This window comes from Homo sapiens, chromosome 1 (assembly GCF_000001405.40).
Source record: "Homo sapiens chromosome 1, GRCh38.p14 Primary Assembly".
NCBI lineage: Eukaryota > Metazoa > Chordata > Mammalia > Primates > Hominidae > Homo > Homo sapiens.
In genome coordinates, this window is record NC_000001.11 from 184751859 (window position 1) to 184776055 (window position 24197).

Consider the following 24197-nt stretch of genomic DNA (forward strand, 5'->3'; position numbering starts at 1 on the left):
TCTTCCTGCCTCAGCCTCCCGAGTAGCTGGGATTAAGGGCATGCGCCACCACACCTGGCTAATTTTGTGTTTTTAGTAGAGAAGGGGTTTCTCCATGTTGGTCAGGCTGGTCTCGAACTCCCGACCTCAGGTGATTCGCCCGCCTCAGCCTCCCAAAGTGCTGGGATTACAGGCATGAGCCACCATGCCAGGCCAAGTCGGCTTTTTCTAAAGTTACGTCTCCTGCCCACGTGCTATAGAAACTGGATTGTTTTCTACTTCATTTTTTAATGAAAACATAACATTAACAAAATACCCTGTTGCAAAATTTTAAAAACAAAACCAAAAAGCTTATTCCATGAAGGATAAGACTACATATAACCAGCTAAGTAATTCCACAAAGTGTAAGTTATTGAGCAATTGCTTACTATTCATGACAATTCCAGTCTTTATCAACTATTTGGTTTGTTGGTGGGGAGGGAAAGGGGTGGGGCATTTTCTGCTTTTTATCATGAATCATTATTTGGGCTTTAAAAAATGCACAGGTAAACCTAATGAATCAAAGTTCAGTTTTCTGAAAATTCCCAGAGAAAGCAGTCATATAATTGTGTATTTGTCGTTTATAGCTCTAGATTCTTACCCTACCCTTACTCAAGGGTAGAGCAATCTAACAAGCCTAAATAATTGTAATTTCACTTTCATAAATGATCTCAAAATTTGAGCTGAAATTTCAAGCCAATTTGGTTGAACTTTTCCAGTTAAAAACTAATTTTGGTCAAAAATGATTTATCCAATGACTCTTTTACAAATAAGTTTTTAATAAAAAATGAAGAAAGGGTAGTGATAGTCAAATAAGATTCTTGTGGTTCTTAACAGACTTGATACTTCTCTTCCAAGTCTAATGAACGTGCAACATACTGGAGAGAGCCTGGCTCTGGGATCAGACAGGCTTGGGTTTGAATGCTGGCTCTACCAATTACTAGCTTTGTGGCTGAACAAGTCAACCTTGGGTCTCAACTTCCTCATTTGCAAATGTGGATCATATTCATTGGGAAATAGGAAGGAGTACAGAGATAACATATGTAAAGTATTCACAGAGTGAGATATTTGGTAAAACTTATCAATGATACATTAAATTCATATGAGAGAAAATGTAAGATATTTATTAGAGTTTACCGGTAATTTTATTTTGATGGTTGATACTTCAGCTTTTTTCCATCAAGTGACCTTTATTGCTATTTAGAAACGAATACAAGACTCTTTGCAATGATTTAAAGTACATAAAGTAAGACCTGATGGTTCCACCACCCCTCCAGCCTAACCCCATGAGATAATCTTCGTTCCACTTTTTTTCTGAGCTCAGATTTTTTTTTTCTTTTTTAAAAAAAACATGGGATGATACTATACATATTATTCTACAACTTGCATTTTTTTTTGTTTTGGAAATATATTCTGGATAGGCTTCCAGTGACGTACTTCCTTCTTCTTAATGTCTCAATATTATTCCATAATATGAACGTACCCTATTGAACCATTTCCTCCAAGGAAGAGCTGTTCTTTCAAAATGCACTTTTTTTTTTTTTTTTCGAGACAGAGTTTCGCTCTTGTTGCCCAGGCTGGATCTATCTCTGCATTAAGAGTGCTTTTATTTTCTTAGGGTAGATTCTCAGAAATAGAACTGATGAATCAAAGTGTGCACAATTTAAATTTTAGTAGATACTACCAATAAGTTACAGCAATTTACACTCTCACTAAGCCTTTTTTTTCTATTCCTTAACTAACCAGAACCGTATCCTTGTGTTTTGTATTATATTTACTAATCTGATGGGCAAAAACCAGCTAGCTCCTCGTTTTAATCTGCATCTCCTACGTTTATGGAGGTTGAGTAACTTTTCATGTTTATTTACCACTTCCATTTCCTCTTCTGGCTTAACCGTTCATGCCTTTCTCCCATTTCCTACTGGTTCTTCGCTTTTTTCTTATTCATGTGTAGGACCTCGTGTATGTATTACTCTGAATTAAATGGTGTAAATAGAATTGATAATTTTAACACACTTCCAAGACGGATAAAAACTACTGAATAGGTATACTTGAGACTTTTGAATAATTTCCCCCCAAACATTCTATTATGAAAATACAGTGCAAGAAAACACTGCAAGGAAATAGTAAAATGTGTAAAGTTCAAGTTCCAATGAACGCCCCCTTTTCCGTAACAGGTGTAAACATCATTTCCTTAACTACTGTGAGATCAGCAACATTTTCCCAGTTGGAAGCTCACTTGCGCGAGAAAGCTAACCATGCTTCGGTCGACAGGCAGCCAACCGCAGAACTCCAGCGCGCAGCGATGCGGGCTGTAGCCCCCTTCTTGGGCCACTGACATGGCAGCCGCGTTGACACACCGCGCCTGGCTTCAAGGAGCCTGCACATGTCACCGGCGGCCAGGGCGACACCCCGTCAGCTCCCCCGAGGTCAGGTCGCGGGCGGCGGTTCCCACCTCCCCGGACCCTGTCCACCCCTCTAGGGTTCTCGCGCGGGAAGAGCCGTTCCAATCGCGACAGGAGAGGCCACTACGCGACCGGGTCGCAATGACAGGCACCCCTCCTGTTGTCAGCCTCACCGAGAAACCCACCCCAGGCTGCCAGCACCCTTACCCAAGCTTCTGTTTCTCCTCCCTACTCATGGGCTCGGCCCCCGCCGTCCACACGGAGGTGGCCGACACCAGGCAGAACGCGGCCGTCGCCGCCACTAGTCTCCATCGCGCTCGCTGGGGAACCGGGGACCCACAGCCCCGGCCGCCGGCTTCGCTCATGGCCCCGCGGTTCCGCGCACGCGCAGCTGCTACGCCCGGCCGGTGAGACACATTGCTGGACGCTGGTGGCCAGGGGGCTGCTAGCCGTGCCGAGACGGGGCGGGATGCGGAGTAACACGGACGGCCGCCGGCGCCAAACTGTTTCCCGAAGCCACCAAGCCGGTCCCCAGCGCCAGCGCTGCCACCGCCCTCCGCCCTCAGTATCCCGGAGCGCCTCCCCCAGCTTTCCGGTGTCGTAGTCTAGGAAACCGCCTCCCCAACGTTACTTCCGGGTAGGGCCGAAGCCGTAGAGCCTCAGGACCAATGGAGACCTCATGGGAGAGGGGCTGTCTCCGGCGACTGGAGAGGGCATTGGCCAGGAGAAGTGAGACGTGGACAAAAGGCGGGACTGGGAAGGGATCTCTCGCTTCGACCCGCCTCCGACCCGCGGAGTTGCCCCCTGAGGACTACCAGTCCCAGTGTGCACTGCTTCTTCCCCGGCTCTCCCGCGAGCCGACTCGGAGCCGTGTCTCTCGCTTCTACCCGGGGTAGGCGCGCTGCACCCTGGGACTTGCGGTCCTCCGAGGTCGCCAGTGGTTGCTGGGATCCCACCTCCCCCTTTCCTCGGCGCCCTACAGTCAACCCTGTCTCGGTGGGCTGCGGAGTCCCGGGAAACCCGTCAGCTGTTTATCTCTCTTCCTCAGAAAGTTGTTTCCCAGAGAGCTGGCTGAATGAGGCGCACTGTCCCCATGTCAGTGCTGCTGCGTTAGGGAATAGTGTTGGAGTAGTCGTCTACCCTCAGGGAAATTCCAAAACACAGTAACAGCAAAATGAATTGAGCCTTTGAAGGCATTGCGCTAAGGTTTTTACTCGCAATCATCTCATGCACTCTTCTCAACTCTGATAGAGTAAGTACCACCATCCCCCTTTTGCAGACGAGAAAACAGAGGCTTAGAAAAGTTGGTTAACAAGAGCTCGTCACACTGCTGTATTAGAATCCATCCAGCCTCTGATTCGGAAGCCCTTGCATTTAACCACCGCGCAGTACTACAAGGATGAAGGAGCACGTGGGTCCTCGTACATGATTAATAATAGTTACCTCAAAAGCTCAATGTAAGGAGAGCTGTGTGGGCTGCAAAGAAGGTTTAATGAAGGAGATTGGAACTTGCAATGAATTTTGATGACCGAGTCCCAGGTTAACTATTGGTAAAATGACACATCGGTTCCTCTTGAAAAACCACATTGTTTTTCTAGTGTGGTCATTCAATAGGTGCGGAGTTTAGGAGCTTCGATGTGATCTCTGTGACCACAGTAAATTACTTACGTGTCCTTTAAGCAGTATTCGGCGGTCTTTCTGGAAACGTTTCTTCCTTGACTTTTATCACCTTACCTCTTACCTCTTAACCTCTTACCTCTTCTCTGGCTGACCCGTTTTCCTTCATTCTCTCGCTACTTTATATTAAAATACAGGTGTTCCCTTAAGGTTTTCTTTTTGTCCTTTTTCTCTCTGTACTCTAATTATTCCTTGGTGATTTCTTCTCATAAGGATTCAGCCAACATATCTCTGTGGTTGATTTCTAAATCAATATCTGTCCTGATCATTAGACCCACATTTCCACCTCCCTAATAGAAATGTCCTAATGTCTAGCCCAAGGGTAGCTCAAACGTAAGATGTTTTCTGATTCAAATTAATGCATCGGAATCATTGTCAACTCATCTTTAGCCTTCGGGGTCCACGTGCAATTAATTACCAAATTATATAGATTTTACCTCTTCTATCTTTCAGATTATTACCTTTCTTTCTATTCCCACTTTTGCTCCATTCAAGCTTCCATTACCTCTCTCCTAAACTATTGCAGTGTCTCAATAAATGTTAAATATACTTGCTTCCTTATTCCTGCAGTTTTCTTATCTATAAAGTGGGAATAATATGGTCCTTTTATCCAGTAGTCCCCAACTTTTTTGGCACCAGGGACCACTTTTGTGGAAGGCAATTTTTCCACAGGGTGGGGGAGACACCGTTCCATCTCAGATCTTCAGGTATTAGATTCTCATAAGGAGCGTGCAACCTAGATCCCTCGCATGTGCAGTGCACAATAGGGTTCATGCTCCTATGAGACTCTGACGCAGTTGATCTGACAGGAGGTGGAGCTCAGGTGGTAATGCTTGCTCGCCTGCTGCTCCTGAGAGGCAACTGACTGGTACCAGTCCACTGCCCCAGGCTTGGGGATCCTTGCTTTTATCTACTAACGTGGATGCTGTGAAAACACATGAAGTCATTTCTGTACAATATTTAATATCCTTTATTTTTTTGCATGGATCTCCAATCCTACATTGGTTCCATCCTAGTCCTCTTTGGCAGCATTAATGTTGAAGTTACCGATTATCTCCCTGCTGCCCTACTCTCCTCTATACATGGCTGTCAGAATTGGTATTCAAGAACATCTGCAAACCCTCTGAATACCTTCTTTCTTCCTTCTAGTCTGCCCTGCCCTCAAATCCTATGTGATAACTAAATAATTCCTATTCTGTATCCTTTCCATGCCTTTGCTCACACCATCTCCTATGCTACCCCATCATCTTTGTACAACACTCAACACCTGTTAAGGCTGGGCTCAGATTCCATTTCCACAAAACCCTTCCAGAACCTTCTAGTTAGCAGAAGTTATCCTCTCTCTGTGCCTCCATGGTATTCTGTGTCTTTGTTATTGTGTTTTTCATAGTCTGCATACCCACTACATTTTAACCACATGAAAAGTATTGACTTTAGCTTATTTGTAGGTTGTCTTAGTCCGTTCTCTGTTGCTATAATGGAATACCTGAAAGTGGGTAATTTATAAAGAAAAGTAATTTATTTCTTACGATTCTGGACTGGGAAATCCAAAAACCCGGCACCGGCATCTGGTTGGCTTCTGACGAGTGCCTCGTGCTGCATCATGACATGGTGGAAAAGCAGGCACGTGTGAAAGAGGTGAAACACGAGGGGCAGCCTCTCTGCATAACAACCCATTCTGGCGGTGACTAATCCAGTCCTGAGAGAATAAGAACCCACTCTAGCAAGAAGTAACCCAGACCGGAGAGAGCAGCATTAATCCCTCTTAATCACCTCTTAAAGGCCCCATCTCCCCAGATCACCATACCAGGGACCACATTTCCAACACAGATATTCTGAGGGACACACTCAAATTATAGCATAAGGATATTCTGAAACACCTAGCACTGTGCCTCTCCTGCTGTAGATGCTCAGTAAATGTTGAATATACTTGTTTTTGTATTCCTTCAGTTTCCTTATCTAAAAAGTGGGAATAATATAGTCCTTTTATCTACTTACATAGATGCTATGAAAACACATGAGGTCACTTCTGTACAATATTTAATATTATCCTTTCTTTGGACAGATCTGCAATCCAACATTGGTTTCATCCTGGATCCTCTTTGGCAGCCTTGGTAATGAAGTTAGCTAAATCAATACATGTGAGTTGGTCTTGGCTCTTGCATAGAGAACATTACAAACTAAAGGTCAACACCAATCATATGGTATTTGAAAACTAAGAACAAATAAAATAGAAAAACAGTGACATTCAGTTATATGGAAATATAGTCAAGTCAATAATTTGAAGTGGATTATTAACAATAACACAGTTTTCTTTACCTTCCTGATGTTCCAACCCTTTATAAGAAGTCAAAATTGACTATGAACTATCATTAAGAACATACTAAAGAAGAAGTACTGGCTTTTAATGTTTAACATTTTCTAGCATATTTGTTTGTTTTCAAGTTAACGCTGCATATTTAAAGATTATAATGGGAAGCCAGAACATAATTCTTTTTCGAACTGCTAAATAATAAGTATCTTTTTTTCCCTTGTTGAAACTCAATTTCTAGCCAATGATTGAGTCTATTTTTCACTGATCTCAGCAACCTTAAGTAGAAAATCTAGTGTGACCTAAAAGCTCTAAAACTTATCAAAGGTGGAGCCCATGGAAATAAAAGAAAAATATATTCGCAAAATGCATTTCAAAAAAGAACACTTTTTTTTTTTGCTGGGTGCAGTGGCTCACACCTGTAATCCCAGCACTTTGGGAGGCCGAGGTGGGCGGATCACCTGAAGTCAGGAGTTCGAAACTAGCCTGGCCAACATCATGAAACCCTGTCTGTACTAAAAATACAAAAATTAGCCGGGTGTGGTGGCAGGCTTCTGTAATCCCAGCTACTTGGGAGGCTGAGGCAGGAGAATCGCTTGAACCCAGGAGGCGGAGGTTGCAGTGAGCCAAGATCATGTCATTGCACTCTAGTCTGGGTGACAAGAGCAAAACCCTGTCTCAAAAAAAAAACAAAAACAAAAACAAAACAAAACAGAACAAAACGTATTTAACCCCGTAATGAAAATAATGGAAATTCTCAGCTAATTGGCACTTTATGAACACTAGGAAAAATTCACTTACGTTATTTTAAAACCTATACACTTAGTGATAAAAAGGATGTACGAGTTAATTGAGAGAGTCTAGTGTTGTACAGAGGGAAAAAGACTGGTGGAAAGCACATCAGAAGAATAAGGATAGAACTTTTAAAGATATAAAGATTTTTTATGTATAAAACCCATTAAAAATGGTAAGAAATAACAGCCATTTCTAAAATGCCCTTTAACCAGTTAACAATCTGTTTGCACAGCCTTGTAGCTTATGTAAATATGCATGCTCACTTTCCTGCTTGGATGTGTCAGAAGTTAGGGAGGGATAGGAGCCCTGGGTAGAACCATATGGATTCAAAAACACAGGGAGGGGCTCCATTTTAATATTATGGCTCAGAAATAGTCCTAGGAAGCTGGGACCAGCTGTGCAAAACTGGTCATAGAACAGCAGTTGCCCCTAAATGATTTGAATTCTTTAGTACTACAGTTCTAATTACTCCTGAAACTAGTATGGAATTTGGGAGTGGTGATTTTGTCATTCTTCAAATTGCTTTTCCTATTCTTTGATAGCATGCAGAATTGACAACAGTTTTCTTCTAGAGAACCCAATCTTGCAAACATTAAATAAAGACAGTAATTATTCTGCATTCACAATTAGTGACTTTGAGGCCTTAGAAAGAGCACCTCATGACAAAGATACTCGGTGAATGTCGTCAACTGACTTCCTGCGTGGCTGTCGGACTGATTTTTTCAAATTCTAAGAAAGAGAATGAGAGATTCAGATGATTCACCTCCCCAAAAGATGTCCCCAGGGCTTTTTCCACCTCTCCATCTTGATTTGAGATCTTCAAAATCACTTCACCTTCAGATTATTATCCCATTTCTCTCACTGGCACTAGCTCCAACTCTCTCAGGCAAGAAAGTTTGCTCATGTGTCATGATTATTTGGTTGGGTCACTTATTTAGTGGCCATTTTCCATTTACTTCAAGTATCAGAAGCAAAACCAAGTCACATGGCTCTTCGAGGGAGTACATTTTGTGTTTGTTCCCTCTCTTAAATCCCCATTTCACCATCAGCATAGTTCCCACTTATTGGTACAGTGTGGCCACAGGATTTAGGTGAGCACCATTCAACAACAGTTGCACAGGTACCATTCAGGCCAAGAACAATGGCTCTGAGACAGCTCTGCTGATTATTGGCTGGGCTTCCTTAAGCAAATGACTAAATCTCTGTGCTTTTGTTTCCTCATTTGTAAAATGAGAATAAGAATAATACCTACCTCACAGCATTTTTAGAAAGATTAAATGGTTTAATTGTTATGCCTTCCTTTTAGGGATGTTGTGAAGATAATGAGATGGTGTGTGTAAAATATTTAGTACAGTTTGAAGGAACTCAATAAATAGTAGGTATCCATATCATGATTATGAGGTAAAGAGAAAACATCGCCATTGTTGAGAGTAGGATTCAAGGGTGAGTGCAGCTGCTCCAACAGCACCCATGGCTCTGGTTTTATTTTCAGCCCTGAATCTTTTTTTCTTTTTTAATTATTATTTTTTTAAAAACAGAGAGAAAGAGAGACAGGGTCTCACCATGTTGCCCAGGTTGGTCTTGAGATCCTGGACTCAAGCGATCCTCCCACTTCCGCCTCCCAAAGTGCTAGGATTACAGGTATGAGCCACCATGCCTGGCCCCAGCCCTGAATCTTGTCTACTTCCTTTGCTTGCTTACTTCGTGCTGCCATTGCAGGCTCCCCATCCAAAAATGTAGCCCTCTTTAGGCCAGCAACTCCAGAGACTGTTGAATTCAGGCACAGTTTGTATGAGCTATAGCGCCTCATCCCTGTATTAGAGTAAATACGCACAAAAACACAAGGTACTTTTCTGTCCTCTTAAAATTAATAATGGCTTCATTTGTAAGACATTTGAAGTTATAAACGTTCTGGAATAAAGTTGTCAGAAAATCTTTGCAGCTTTTTTGTTTGTGTGACTTTCTTCAGTTTTACTTTGTTTTTGTAAAAGCTCATCTTACCTCCAACCTCCAAGGGATTTAGAAAGATAGTTTTACTGGTTATCTAATTATGAAATTAAGGATCAAAGTGAAAGGTGCCCAGTTGATCTTGTCAAAAAGCATTAGGTAGAGTAATCCCCAACATTAGGACACTTAAGAATTAAAAATAAGTTATTTCTGTAATGATCCTATCATTTCTCATTATCCAAATCCGACATTCTTCCTAGAATTGTTATCCAAACCCTGTGTTCTTCCTAGGAGCTCCCTTTGCATACATATACATATATGTTTTGTATATGAGTATATATAAATATATACACATATACAATATACATATATTGCACATGTATGTATTTGTATACACATACTTGTAGTACTGTCTTTTCACCCTTTCTTCCTGTTCTTGTAATCCTCAGAGTGGTCCAAATTTGTCAATCCCCAGCATTTCTTAACCTCAGAGGTAAATGCTGACAGTCCTTAAATATTTGAAATTAAATATTTCCTGGCCTCCAGCTTAAAGTTCTATGAAAACAGTGCTTATTTCTGTTTCTTCTCCAAATGTATTGATAAGTTTGGAGTTTTTTTGGTTGGGATTGTTTTTTGCTTGATTTTTTACAGGTAGGGCTTTTAGGTAATAAGTGGGGGTAGTAAAGGTTTGTGATGGATGAGAAGTAGAATAAAGAGTTCTTGGTTTATTTGCAGATCAATCTCTTTGTGATACTTTAAAATCAGTATACAACCTTCAAATACATGATTATACTTAAAACTTTGAGAGAGTGGTGTTAGATACACGGCTTTCTTGAAGATCACCATATTTTTCTTGGCACTAGATGATGAGGCAAGTATAGTTTCATTGTGCACAAAATGTACTATTTTTCATCCATTGCTAGAGATTAATAGACATTATTATTTACAGAAGTAGCTCTTAAGCAAATATAATCTTCAGAGCCTTCCTAGCCCTTTTTGGGAGACTTGCACCCAATTTTAGCGCAATCTCTGGGTTCCCAAGGCCCCCACTCTAATGTTTAATGTTTTCTCCTGGTTTTTCTCTGCATCACTTCACATCACTTCCTCTTCCTTCCTACTCCAATTCATTCTGCATGCATATGCGTGTGCGTGCACACACACACATAAACACACACACATTTGCTTTGTGCCTATTCCTGAACATTGAACTTTGAATCAGCTGACTTGGGTTCTACATTTAGATCTGCTAGTTACCATTTTATGGAAGTCTGTTTCTCTAAGATTCAGGTTTGGTTTTGTTTTTCTCAGTTCATATGGCCAAGAGAAGTGAGCAGAGGTTCCAGATGTAGAATCAGATTAGTGGTTTAAAAGAGTAAAATAACTATTACAGTTTAATCATGCAAAACTACTGGCTTGTTTTTAGTAGATAGACAGACGTAGTAGTCAAATTATAGGAGTTGGGGTGAAAATTATTTCCCAACAATTTCATAACAATTAAACCAAGTTAAAAATTAAATCAAGTATCAGGCTGATTTCTGTCACACATACAGACATTTATTAAACAAATATGTGTTAGCAAACAGAAACAAGGTGATACACCTGTTCTGTGAGTTTGATGAGGTCCCAGTTCTCTGTCTTTTTAGGTTCTGCAATCATGACCTTGCATGAAAGATTCACTGGAAGCAGATGAATAATATTCCAGAGCTAGAATTCCATCACCCTTACAATAAGCATCTGGCAACCGGAAGCCCTTCAACTCACACACCATCCCTAATCATCTGGCTTTTTGTAACTTGTTCATGCAAGAATGAGAGTGTCTCTAAAATATTTTAGCCAGTCCTTGTATCTTGGAAATCACTAATTATATGAGAGTCTGTTTGTCATATCTGTTGTGATGACTGACAAACCACTAATTTTGACAATGAAAATTCACTTTTGACATATGTTATAGAATGATTTTTGCTATTAAAGAGATAAGAGTGACAGATGTAGTACCCACCTCTATAGGGGTCTGCCTGATGAGACCACTACCTGCCATCTTAGAATATGAATTTATGATTAGTGCAACTGACTGCACCTTGATTGTAATTTAACCTAAGCCATACAAGATATACTGTCTATATGGAATAATTTTGGGGTATATTGGCAGACATCATACTGATAATAATATCTACAAAGAACATATGAGGCACTTTCTCCCCTCCTCCATGTGAGAATTATATCCTTGTTTTACAGATGTAGAAAATAAAGGTCAGGCCAGGCACAATGGCTTACTTCTATAATCTAGCACGTTGAGAGGTCGAGGCAGGAGGATTGCTTGAGCCCAGGAGTTCAAAGTTGCAGTAAACTATGATCATACCACTGCACTTCAGCCTGGGTGACAGAGCGAGACCCTATCTCAAAAAAAAAAAAAAAAGTAAGTAAATGAAGTTCACAGAGAGGTTATGTCACAAGTCAAAAGCAGGGAAATGGTAGTAAAATTTGGATATAAGTCCAGACTATTTCTACCATACTAAGATGACCATAAATTCTGGTTTGCTTGTGACCAGATTTAAATCATTTTCATGGTATCTGTATTAGTCCATTTTCACACTGCTGATAAAGACATACCCAACACTGGGAAGAAAAAGAGGTTTAATGGACTTACAGTTCCACATGGCTGGGGAGGCCTCACAGTAATGGCAGAAGGAAAGGAGGAGCAAGTCACATCTTACATGGATGGTGACAGGCAAAGAGAGAAAGAGAGCTTGTGCAGGAGAACTCCTCTCTTTAAAACTATCAGGTCTCGTGAGACTTATTCACTATTGCAAGAACAGTATGAGAAAGACTCACCCCCATGATTCAAGTACCTCCCACTGGGTCCCTCCCACGACATGGGAGTTGCGAGAGTTACAATTCAAGATGAAATTTGGGTGGGGACACAGCCAAATCATATCATTATCCTGATTAGTGCCCCCTTTCATTTTCAAAACTGTCCCAATATAAACAATAAATAATATGATCACCCAAATTATACTACATTGCCTCCAAAATCCAAGGACCTTCATCCCCCAACTATGTCAGACTCTATCAGACATATGAACAAGACACAGTAGTGTTCCTGTCCTGGCCTCTTCTTGCTCCATCACACCATTTTGAATATAAGGGAGAAAAAAAAACACACAGTATAATTAGGTGGCACAATCTAGGCAAAGCAAGTCCTGATTACAGGAAATACAAGTCTACTCTATTATAAAGGAAGGTATAATGATGAATCACCAAAAAATTGGACAGACTATCCTAAAACTTAATGAAGATTATAGGAGGAAAATTAAGAGCAATATTGAAATTAAGCTATGTTTTCAACCAACCATGTTTGCCCAAGAACATTCATATTGACTAAATTTGGTGTCTGTTTACATTTATACTTACCCTAGAACACTAGAGGGGAAAATAGTTTTGCACCCAAATTTTACCATGTTTAGGTATAATATAAAAGTCACACTTGTGTTATAGAATTAGATTTATTAGTCAATTGTGGGAACTAGCTGAAAAGCACTTCTCTTGTTTGCACTGAAAGTTTACTCAAAGAGCATTCCTTTTCCAGGCAAATCCAAAATCCCTTATCACTGCCATGACCTTTTCCTGAAATTATAAAGACAGCTGTCCATGGCTATGTATGGGTTGGGAAATACTGGCCTTTTCTCAGCTGAGGGTTCACCATGGCAGAGACATGCTGCCCTGTGACCCAGCCATGAGCAGAACTTCAGAACCAAGAAGTGCTATTGTGTAGGCAAAAGCAGCCTTCTGTCTGCATCAGCCCATGACTGGTTATCTATACTGTATTTATGCCAGTCAGAGACTACTGCTCCATTGTTTTCCATGCCGCCCCTCTCTGACGGTTACTATTCTTTGAAGCTTCTGCAGAAGGTTAAGCTGCAGCCACTAATGTTTTGCCACCTCTAACATTGCCTGAGGTCTTGCCAGTGATAGGCTGTCACAGTGATTGGCAATAATGGCAGAATAAGAACATCTGAAGAGGTCAGCACGGCCAACTAGACAATCTGGAATTCTCTGATTAAAGTTAATTCTGGTCCAGGCATGGTGGCTCATGCCTGTAATCCCAGAACTTTGGGAGGCCAAGGCAGGCGGATCACCTAAGGTCAGGAGTTCAAGACCAGTCTGGCCCACATGGCGAAACCCCCATCTCTACTAAAAATACAAAAAAAATTAGCTGGGCCTGGTGGCACATGCCTGTAATCCCAGCTGCTCGGGAGGCTGAGGCAGGAGGATCAGTGAGCCTGGGAGACAGAGGTTGCGGTGAGCCGAGATCATGCCACTGCACACCAGCCTGGCAACAGAGCGAGACTCTGTCTCAAAAAAAAAAAAAAAAAAAAATTCAGCGTGTAGATTAGTAGCATGTTAGAAGACATACCACTATTTATAATAAAATATATTTAACACTTACCCACATTTTGATAATACCCACAGGGCATCTGTGGTGTCATGGACAAGGAGGGGGTCATGGGAATGTTTTGAGCTGGGAAGATAGGATAGTTGTCTTTATTGCATTTTCAAAAGAAGAAAGTTTCATTCTTTCCTTTTTTTTTTTTTTTTTTTGAGACGTAGTTTCACTCTGTTGCCCAGGCTGGAATGCAGTGGTGCAATCTCAGCTCACTGCATCCTGCAGGTTCAAGCAATTCTCCTGCCTCAGCCTCCCGAGTAGCTGGTATTACAGGCCCCCACCACCATGCCTGGCTAATTTTTGTATTGTTAGTTGAGACAGGGTTTTGCCATGTTGGCCAGGCTGGTCTTGAACTCCTAACCTCAGGTGATCCACCCGCCTTGGACTCCCAAAGTGCTGGGATTACAGGCGTGAGCCTCCGTGCCCAGCCCATTATTTCTTAATCTAATAAATGAGTATCACCTGCCCATCACCTTCTTCTTATTAAGGTGTTAAGAAAATGGCAGCTAGTGTCTAATTAGTCCTAACAGCATTCTGGGTGCTTTATGTGTATACTCTTTATTTTCATTTTCTAACAATTCTCTGGGGTAAATTCTAGAATGATTTGCATTTCCCAGATGAAGAAGGTGAGGCAGCAAGAGGCCCTTAGGCTCTCAGTCATTAAGTCGTACAGCCAAGTTTAAAACTCCTGCAGTCCGGCCACAGACACAGCATTCGACCAGCCAATGCCCTGCCTCACAAATAACTTTCTAAGATGGATTAGCATGCTCCCTACCACCTTGTTGCCTAAACAAAATCTGTAATGTATTTAAATATTCAGTGTGCCACACTTGCATTGGAAAACATTACAAACTTTATACCCCCTGTAACAACATTTGACCTTACAGGACATTTACATTACCTTCAAATGAGTTTAAAATTTTTTTAATTAATATTATTTTTTCTTTTAATTTTTCAATTTTATTTCTTCTATTTTTTTCTTTTTCTGTATCTCAGTGGATGCAAAGAGTTTTTTTAATATTAAGAAAGATCAGCTGAGTGCAGTGGCTCATGCCTGTAATCCCAACACTTTGGGAGGCTGAGGCAGGCAGATCACTAGAGGTCAGGAGTTCGAAACCAGCCTGGCCAATGTGGCAAAACCTGTCTCTCCTAAATGTACAAAAATTAGCTGGGCCTGGTGGCAGGTGCCTGTAGTCACAGGTACTTGGGGGGCTGAGGCAGGAGTAATTGTTTGAACCTAGGAGGCAGAAGTTGCAGTGAGCTGACATGGCGCCACTGCACTCTAGCCTGGGCAACAGAGTGAGACTCCATCTCAAAAAAAAAAAAAAAGAAAACAAATATTCATTAACTCAATAATGAATAACTTACTGTTCACCTCTCGGATACAAGGCACAAAATTGAGTATGTACAGTCTGTGGGAAAAACAAAAAAACAAAAAAACACCTCTCTGATAGGAGAGACGGGATATCTATAAGTCATCATAAAATGAATCAGAAAATAAGTGTCAGCAGAGAAATGTAAATTCAGAGCTAAGGGAGTTCAGGGAGGCAAAGCTGCCAAATTTAGTGACCTAAAACCCTCAAGAGTGTCGCACCTTTTTGAGTGTCCATTGTAATCGCTACTGTGTATAAACCAGGATGCAATCTCTGAAGATACCATAGCAAGGAGCAAGATGCTAGAGAAGCTATTAATAATTTAGCTTTCTTGGTCATGAGGTAAGATGAATTGAACTTTTTAAGTAATTTCTCCCACTTGAAATCCTCTTACTACTGCTTTCTGACAAACAGGCTTTTTTTTTTTTTTTTTTTGAGACGGAGTCTTGCTGTCACCCAGGCTGGAGTGCAGTGGCGTGACCTCAGCTCACTGCAACCTCCACCTCTGGGTTCAAGTGATTCTCCTGGCTCAGCCTCCCAAGTAGCTGAGACTACAGGCCCCCACCACCATGCCCGCCTAATTTTTGTATTTTTAGTAGAGACGGGTTTCACCATGTTGGCCAGGCTGGTCTTGAACTCCTGGCCTCAAGCGATCTGCCTGCCTTGGCTTCCCAAAGTGCTGGGATTAACAGGCATGAGCCACCCTCGCCCAGCCCGATGTCTCACACAACTGTGTGTACATTTGAAAATAAGCTCCCTTACATTGTTCTCAACAGATGTTCTCTATTGTCTTCATCACATTAGATCTGCCTTTACCTTCTTCCATTAATTTAGTAATTCAACAAACATTTGTGCAGAAGTAGAAGTCTGGGTTGCTGCCTTTATTTGTCTATACAGGCGTCTCTAACCCCCGGCTGGTACTGGTACCCATCAGTGGCCTGTTAGGAACTGGGTCGCACAGCAGGAGGTGAGCAGAGGGTGAGCTAGCTATTACCGCCTGAGCTCCACCTCCTGTCAGATCAGCAGCAGAATTAGATTCTCAAAAGAGCAAAAATTCTATTGTGAAACTGCACATGTGAGGGATCTACGCTGCACACTCCTTATGAGATTCTAATGCCTGGTGATCTGAGTTGGAATAGTTTCATTCTGAAACCATCATACCCTTCCCCTGCCCCATCCGTGGAAAAAAAAATGCCTTCCGCAAAATCAAAAGGTGTCTAAATCTTGGAGATGGCTGCTATAATTTGGCAATTGGTTAAATGGTGGTGCCACTCACCGAAATGGAAACCACAGGATAAGGGACTATTGGGAAGGGGGGATAGATAACTTTAGTTGGAACATGATGAGTTTGAGGTGCCTGTTTGACATTCTAGTGAAGGAATAAAATAAGCAGTTCGATAAGTGGGTCTGGAGGTCATGAGAGAGATGTCGGCTTTTAAATATAAAAGATTTGAGAGCCATCAAGCACCATTGGTAGTAGTTAAAGTTATGGAAAAGTGATTCTTAACCTGAGGGGTAAGAACCCTTAGGAGGTCTACCAGTTGCTTCAGGATGTCCATGTAACCCTAAAATTAGATGGAACATGCCCTCCCTCCAGAAGATTCCTGAATTTTATCACATTCTCCAGGAGGTTCATGTCTCCAGAAAAAAGGCTCAGAATAAGTGTGAAAAGACACGTTTCAGGGAGAAACACTGGGGATCTCTAACATTTAAGAAGTGGAAGAAGAGTGATAAACAAGACCACAAAGTTTGGAAGCAAAACAGGGAAAAGAGTCGCAGAAGTCAAAGGAGAGATATTTTCAAGGAGAAAGTAGCCAATAGTGTCCTATGCTACAGTGAGGTCAAACAAGATAAGGACAGAGTTCTCTATCTTACTTGCACATTCCTCAGGGTAGGTTCTGTATGCAACAGGCACTCAGTTCATGTTTAATGGACTAAAAAAGTATGTCCTTTATATCATTTGAGAAGAGTGAAGTTAAAAGGTGAAATCAATAAAATGATATGCTCATGGCAGGTTTAATTAGGTTTGCCTTTACATTAATAAATGAAATACACATGAAATTAGACAGTTTCACTTTATTAGGTCATTTTATGAAGTTGTGTAAATTGGCGAACTGAACCTCTCAAATACTTACATCCAACTTTATTCACAGGTAATATAAGCAGCCACTTCCATGGAGTAATTGAAAATATATCTATTTCCTTATACTTTACTATCCCTCCTACTGCTATATTACAGTGCCTAAAAGACCAATCATCCTAGAAGAAGCGCTTGTCCCCTGGATTATGTTACCTCGGAGGTGGGCCACATTGGCTGGCTAATGTTTGCATAAATATTATTAACCCACTATGATCTTGGATTGTTAGCTCAAGAATAATATAATGCCTTTTTATTTGTGATGCTTTTAAGTTTAAAAAGAAGATTTTATAAATACTTTATTATATTATTTAATACTCACAATGCCCCCCAAAGAAACAAGTAGTCAAAGGAGCCTTTTAAGGGAGAAAAAAAAGCACCTAAGTCTTTTAACGAGATGGTCTCTGATTAGATAGATAGATAGATAGATAGATAGATAGATAGATAGATGATAGATAGCTGGAGAGATAGTTAATAAACAGAGGTTTTGAGGATAATAGTACAAATGATAATGATGATGATGCTCTTAGTTATGATACAAGCCAAGGTATGGGAAGAAAAAGACCCCCACAAACAATGGTTTATACAAGATAGAAGATATTTTTCTCCCAGACAGTATTCAGAAGCATGTGCATGATTCAGACGTGAAAGGCAATTTTCCTTCACAGTAATCTAGGAACGCAAGTTGCTGTTCTATCCCCAATAGACATCTCCATGGTAGACATTGGTTCACCAGTATCACATAAACCTTCCAGCCTGCCTGAAAGTGGAAAGAGAAAGAGGAAGGCAAGCAAGTTCCTTTAAGGAGGATGTGACCTGGAAATTGAACACCTCTTTGCTCCTATCTTATTGGAAAGTACTGAATCAATTGGTCACATCTAGCGCAAGGAAGGTTGAGAGTTTTATTCTCTAAGTGGGTAGCTATTTGCCCAGCTTAAACTCAGGGATTCTATAACTAGAAAGGAGAAGCAGATAACAAATATTGGGAGACACTTGGCAGTCTGTGCCAAACCCTTGCTTTGGTGTATTATAGCCATCATTACAGTAATGGTGCAAATATGAAATTTTGATATGTGTATAGATTTCTACAAAGGGTGAACTGTGGAAAATCAGTCTCATTTTAATTTTGCTTATTATATATATAGTCTGTCTATTGAATCTCTTAATACTAAAGTATTAATAGTAAAGAAATAGTGGGATATCTTTGGAGCGGTATTTAAAAACCTCATTATTTTGACTGAGCCTTGGGGAAATTTTACAGTTGCAAAGGCAGCCCAGTTTATCTTTATGACTTTCCTTATCCTTTCTCCTCTGTAGAAGATGTGTAGAGATAATATGTTACTGGAAATGGTGCAAGGCAGCTTCCCTGGAGAGTACTTAAATCCTGTGGTGATGAGAGACACAGCTAGTAAACAATGAAAGCTATAATATCAGTAATTGCAGTAGCTCCTGGAATAAAAGAAGAATTAAATGTAACAGGATTAGCATAAAAGTACTAGAGGGCTGTTTTTCACAGTTCCACTTTTGGAGAGGTGGAACCTGTTAGAAGTTGATAAGAAAATTTAGTGGTTTGCAAAATTATGTAATTTACTTAATATTGGGTTTTGGTGAGAAAGCAGGGAAATTATGAGAGATGTTGCCCAAGGAAGTAAGAATGTAATAACAGTTAAACAGAAGTGTTTTTCCATCACTTCCATTCCTCCAGGATGCTAGGGAACCTGGATTTAACAAACTGTTTTTTGTGCGTTTGTGAAGGTTTTTTTCTTTCTTTTTCTTTTTTTCCTTGTTTTTGTTTTTTGTTTTGTTTTGTTTTGTTTTGTTTTTTTGAAACAGAGTCTTGCTCTGTTGCCCAGGCTGGAATGCAGTGGCACGATCTCAGCTCACTGCAACCTCCACCTCCCGGGTTCAAGCAATTCCTGTGTCTCAGCCACCTAAGTAGCTAGGATTAGAGGCATGCACCACCAAGCCTGGCTAATTTGTGTATTTTTAGTAGAGACGGAGTTTCACCATGTTGGCCAGGCTGGTTTTGAACTCCTGGGCTCAAGTGATCCTCCCGCCTCAGCCTCCCAAAGTACTGGGATTACAGGCATGAGCCACTGCACCCAGCCTGTTATTAGTGATTTTATTAATGGTATTGATATAGGAGTTAAAAAGAAATTATTTAGGCAGATAGTGAGGGTAAGGAAGTCCTCAGTAAGGTTTCCTTTTAATGAAAAGCAGCCCCCAAATCATTTTCTTTTCTAACAAAGAGCAGCCTGTAAAATGGAGCTGTAGACATAGATAGACAAGCAAGCTGGACGCTTGCACAGGTGAATGCTGGCAGCTGTGCCAATAGGAAAAGGCTATCTGGGACTAGGCATGTTCAAAATGGCAGCTCCATCTTCCCTTCTCTGTGCCAGCCACGTGTACAATAAGGAGCAAACGAGACGGCCTGGCCAAGTGAAAAGTTCATTTGCATAATAAGATTAGGGTGGGGCAACCAGCCTTCCCTGCGGCCCTGTGTAAACGTCACACCTGGTGGAACCAATCTGTGGGCCCTACATAAATCAGACACCGCCTCCTCAAGCCTGCCTATAAAATCTGCTGCAGTCTACAGCAGGACAGCTTTTCCTTTTCAGATGCCCCTCTCTCTCACAAGAGTGTAAATTTACAAAAGTGTAAATAGACTTTTGGATTTTCTTCAAGGTACTGGATTTTAAAGACTTGTTATGAAAAAATAATGTAAAATAATGATTTTTAACGTGGATTACATGTTTAAATGATACTATGTTAGATGTATTGAGTTAAATAAAATATATGATAAACACTAATTTTACCTGTTTCTTTTCACTTTTTTTAATGTGGCTACTGGAAAATTTTATATTACATTGTGACTCATTTCTCTTGGACAGTGCTGACTTAAAAAAGTTAAATAGAATGAACAGGTGATCTCTTTTCCCAGCTTTTGACCTATTCTAAGAACAAAGGTTATAGAGGTTTTTTTGTTTGTTTGTTTTTGTTTGTTGTTTTTGTTTATTGTGGGTTTTGCTTTGTTTTTGAGACAGGGTTGCACTCTGTCACCCAGGCTGTAGTGCAGTGGCAAGATCACAGCCCACTGCAACCTTAGCCTCATGGACTCAAGCGATCCTCCCACTTCAGCCTCCCGAGTAGCTGAGACTACAGGAGCATGCCACCATGCCTGGCTAATTTGTTTTTTCATTTTTTTTTTTTTTTTTTGTAGAGATGAGGTCTTGCTTTGTTGCCTAGGCTGGTCTTGAACTCCTGGTCTAAAGCTATCTTCCCACTTCTGCCTTCCAAAGTCCTGGGATTACAGATGTGAGTTTTAAACCAACAGCCTTTCTACCTGAAGTTCCCACACACACCAAGTCAATGCAGGATCACTGGTAGTGTATCCCAGGGTCGTCAGCCTTGGGCTGAACAATTTCTAATGATGGATGTCCTGCTGCTTTGCATGATGATCCTTTCAATTTCTGGACAATTCCAACTATCAGAAAGCCCTTCCTCTCATACTGGGAAAAAATTTGGCTCTTTGTTATTTCAACTTCTAAGATTTTTTCCTCTAGTGTAATTAAAATATCTCATCCTTGCCATATGTCTTTCTGTTTAAATCCATTTAAAAAGTACAAGGTAATATGTAAGGATCTATCAACAACTATCAGCCTCTTCCGTCTTCACCAGCTCAAATCTACTCCTCCCCAGGGCGAACAGAATAATGCCTCTTCTCTCTTATTTGACACATCCTCATTTGTCATTAGGTTTTTTTTTTTAATTGGAATATTCATTTTCCAAAATTCTGCAGATACAAGTTTGTGGAAGAAGGCAAGAGTCATGATAAGATGAAAATATTCAGTAAGGAACTGACCTCTAAAAAGTTAGTCTGCCCTCAAACATTACTTTCAATTCAACACCAGTGTCTAGGACATAACAGATTCTCTCAAAGAGAGTGATTTAAATATCAAAGGATTGAGAAGCACCATGGGAAAATTGATGAAGCCCTTTAAAAAATGATTTTTATGATAGCATAGCAAAATTCAAATGACGTGAATTATCTCATCATACTTCCAAAAATTTTGTCAGGAAAGGTTTTGGCAAACAAAACAGCAGCACATTTGTGTGATAGGCTGAAAAACATGGACTTCATCAAAAGTTGGAGTCTTGGCCAGGCACGGTGGCTCATGCCTGTAATCCCAACAATTTGTGAGGCCGAGGCAGGCGGATCACTCGAAGTCAGGAGTCTGAGACCAGCCTGGGCAACACAGTGAAAACCCGTCTCTACCAAAAATACAAAAATTAGCTGAGCATGGTGGTGCACGCCTGTAATCCCAGCTACTCAGGAGGCTGAGGCAAGAGAATCTCTTGAACCCAGGAGGTGGAGGTTGCAATGAGCTGAGATCTCACCACTGCACTCCAGCCGGGGCAACAGAGAGATACTATGTCTCAAAAAAAACCAAAAAAAATCTGGAGTCTCTTGGTCACCCTGTGAATCTGGCCTGGTCTTGTGATTCGCTTTGGCTGATAGAATGTGATGAAAATGACAATGTATAAGTCCAGAGCTCTGGCCTCAAGATCCCTTGCAGTTTTCCCTTTTGGGCTCTCCGAATGTTCCTGCTATGGTCAAGGAAGCCTAAGCTATTCTACTGGATGGTGGGCAACTACATGGAAAGAATGGTCCCGCTGAAAAATAGCACCAACATCCTAGACCTGTGAGTGAGGCCACCTGAGACCCTCCAACCTGTTAAGCTGCCAGCTGGTTGCAGTCACATGGTTGACCCACAATTGTGAGAAATGAAAAAGTTGTTATTTTGCACTGTTACATTTTGGGGTGGTTGGGTATGTAGCAGTAGATAACTTTGAGAACTTGATTCAGCTCTTTGTTCATTCTAAGATTAGTGCACAAGTGAAATGAAAGCCAACATTTTCATTTTTTCATAATCAACTTCCTTCTACTCTGTTATCTCTATGACCTCTGTCCTGTGTCACCCTCTTAGACACTCTAACCACGTGGCCTCCTTTCTGTGCCTTGAACGTGCCAAGGTCAGTCCTGCCTTCGGGACTTTATTCTAGCTTTTCCCTCTGCCTAGCATGTTCTTACCTAAGATATTCACTTGCTAATTCCCTCACCTCCTACAAAGTTATTACCTCTGCAGGAGACTTGACCCCACTAGGACATTATTAACCTATGCGTTTATCTCTCAAACTTTAGTTTTATGCTTGATATTGTAAACAAAAAATAAAATTCTAAGGCATCCCAACCATCTGAATGGACAGCCAGGACTCTTAAAATTTAACCTGAGAGTCTGTTTCAGGCCATGATGGAAAGTGGGGTTCAAACATGCCTCATTATACCTCTCCAGCATTAACTCAACACAGACTTTAAGTCTGATAGGAAACATTTTGAAACCTATTCTCTCTGAAGCCTGCTAGCTAAAAGCTTCATCTGCATGATAAAACTTTGGTCTCCACAACCTCTTATCTTAACCCAGATATTCCTTTCTGTTTGATCTCAGGTCTTATAGACAAACTCAACCAATTGTCAACCAGAAAATGTTTAAATTTTCCTATTCTGGAAGCCCTCCCACCCCCTACTTTGAGTTGTCCCGCCTTTGTGGACCAAACCAATGTATTTCTTAAATGTATTTGATTGATGTCTCATGCCTCCCTAAAATGTATAAAACCAAGCTGCACCCCAGCCACCTTGGGCACATGTTCTCAAGACCTCCTGAGGGCTGTGTCATGGGCCATGGTCACTCATATTTGGCTCAGAATAAATCTCTTCAAATATGTTACAGAGTTTGACTCTTTTTGTTGACAATATTAATCTTTCCAAGTTTTGCCCCCTGATTACTTTTCTTTAGTTAATTCAATACATATTTGTTAGAAAATGTTAGATGAATGAATCAAGTGATCAATGGAATCATTGGAATCGATGAGCAAGGAATAGATAGGAATGTAAATTTCTTGGAAACTAAGATACTGCATTTTCTTGGATGCTACTACATTTTATCAATCCTGCATCCTTTATTTTTAAGAAGAAAAATTCCAACCCATTATTCTTCCATCCACTCCCTCTTACCACTCTTAATCCTTATAAGGCTGGGCGTGGTGGCTCATGCCTGTAATCCCAGCACTTTGGGAGGCCAAGGCGGGTGGATCCCGAGGTCAGGAGATTGAGACCATCCTGGCTAATACGGTGAAAACCCCGTCTCTACTAAAAAAATACAAAAAAATTTCGCCAGGCGTGGTGGCGGGCACCTGTAGTCCCAGCTACTAGGGGGGCTGAGGCAGGAGAATGGCGTGAACCTGGGAGGCGGAGCTTGCAGTGAGCCACAGTGAGCCGAGATCGCGCCACTGCACTCCAGCCTGGGTGACAGAGTGAGACTCCATCTCAAAAAAAAAAAAAAAAACAAATTCCTTTCAAGTACCTTATGATACCTCATAAGGCTTTTGCAGTGGTTTGAATAATTGCCCCCAAAAGTTATGCCCATGACCTCATCCCTGTAGCCTATAAATGTGATCTTACCTTGATAAAAGCTCTTTGCAGAGTAATTAAGTTAAAGCTCTCAAGATGAGATAATCCTGGATTATCTAGGTGAGGCTGAAAGATAATGACAAATTTTTTTTTAAAGGAAATGAAAGAGGAGAAGACAGACATAGAAGACTAGGCCACATGAAGACTAAGGCAGAGATTGGATTTATGCAGCTACATACAAGGAAAGCCTACAGCCACCAGAATCTGGAAGAGATAAGGAAGGATTTGCCACTAAAGCATTCAGAAGGTGCACGGCCCTGCTGACATCTTGATTTTGGACTTTTTTGGGGACCGGGTAGCCATTATCCTTCTTCTTGATATCCAGGTTCAACTGAAGGCATAAAATGTCAAGTTCCTCAGCTCAAAATCAAAATCTCTACTCTGCCACTATCTTGGTAATTTAAGCAAATTATTCTGCCTCTTTTGGTCTAAGTTTAGTCATTTGTAATATTAAAGTGGTAAATTAGATCAGAAGATCCCAAAATGACATTTTGAGAAATTCTGTTTTGAAGGATATGAATGGGTGTGCCCTATAACACGCCCCTGACCACAACCATCAGA

General features: G+C 41.0%; 1 protein-coding gene and 1 long non-coding RNA gene across 6 annotated transcripts in view, besides 2 other annotated features; one reads left to right on the top strand and one right to left on the bottom strand.

Moving 5' to 3' along the window:
- Positions 1–3000, bottom strand: part of EDEM3 (ER degradation enhancing alpha-mannosidase like protein 3) — a 64622-nt gene extending 61622 nt beyond the window's left edge. For all 5 annotated transcript variants that reach the window (NR_135118.2, XM_011510012.2, NM_025191.4 and 2 more), the window contains exon 1: positions 2631–3000. Coding sequence is in view for 3 of the 5 variants with exons in the window: in NM_025191.4 (NP_079467.3) it covers positions 2631–2788 (158 nt within the window). In the remaining 2 variants the exon portion in view is untranslated. The remainder of the gene's footprint in view (positions 1–2630) is intronic.
- Positions 2584–2683: an enhancer, noted in NCBI's record as "active region_2237". NCBI's record gives its function as "activates an Ori minimal core promoter by ATAC-STARR-seq in GM12878 lymphoblastoid cells {active_cell/tissue: GM12878}" and the evidence as "EXISTENCE:reporter gene assay evidence [ECO:0000049][PMID:35858748]".
- Positions 3154–3253: an enhancer, noted in NCBI's record as "active region_2238". NCBI's record gives its function as "activates an Ori minimal core promoter by ATAC-STARR-seq in GM12878 lymphoblastoid cells {active_cell/tissue: GM12878}" and the evidence as "EXISTENCE:reporter gene assay evidence [ECO:0000049][PMID:35858748]".
- Positions 3316–23822, top strand: LOC105371649 (uncharacterized). Its single transcript, XR_922357.4, has 3 exons — positions 3316–3675; positions 6166–6241; positions 23734–23822. It is a non-coding gene; the product is annotated as an uncharacterized LOC105371649 (long non-coding RNA).
- The last annotated feature ends 375 nt before the right edge of the window (positions 23823–24197 follow it).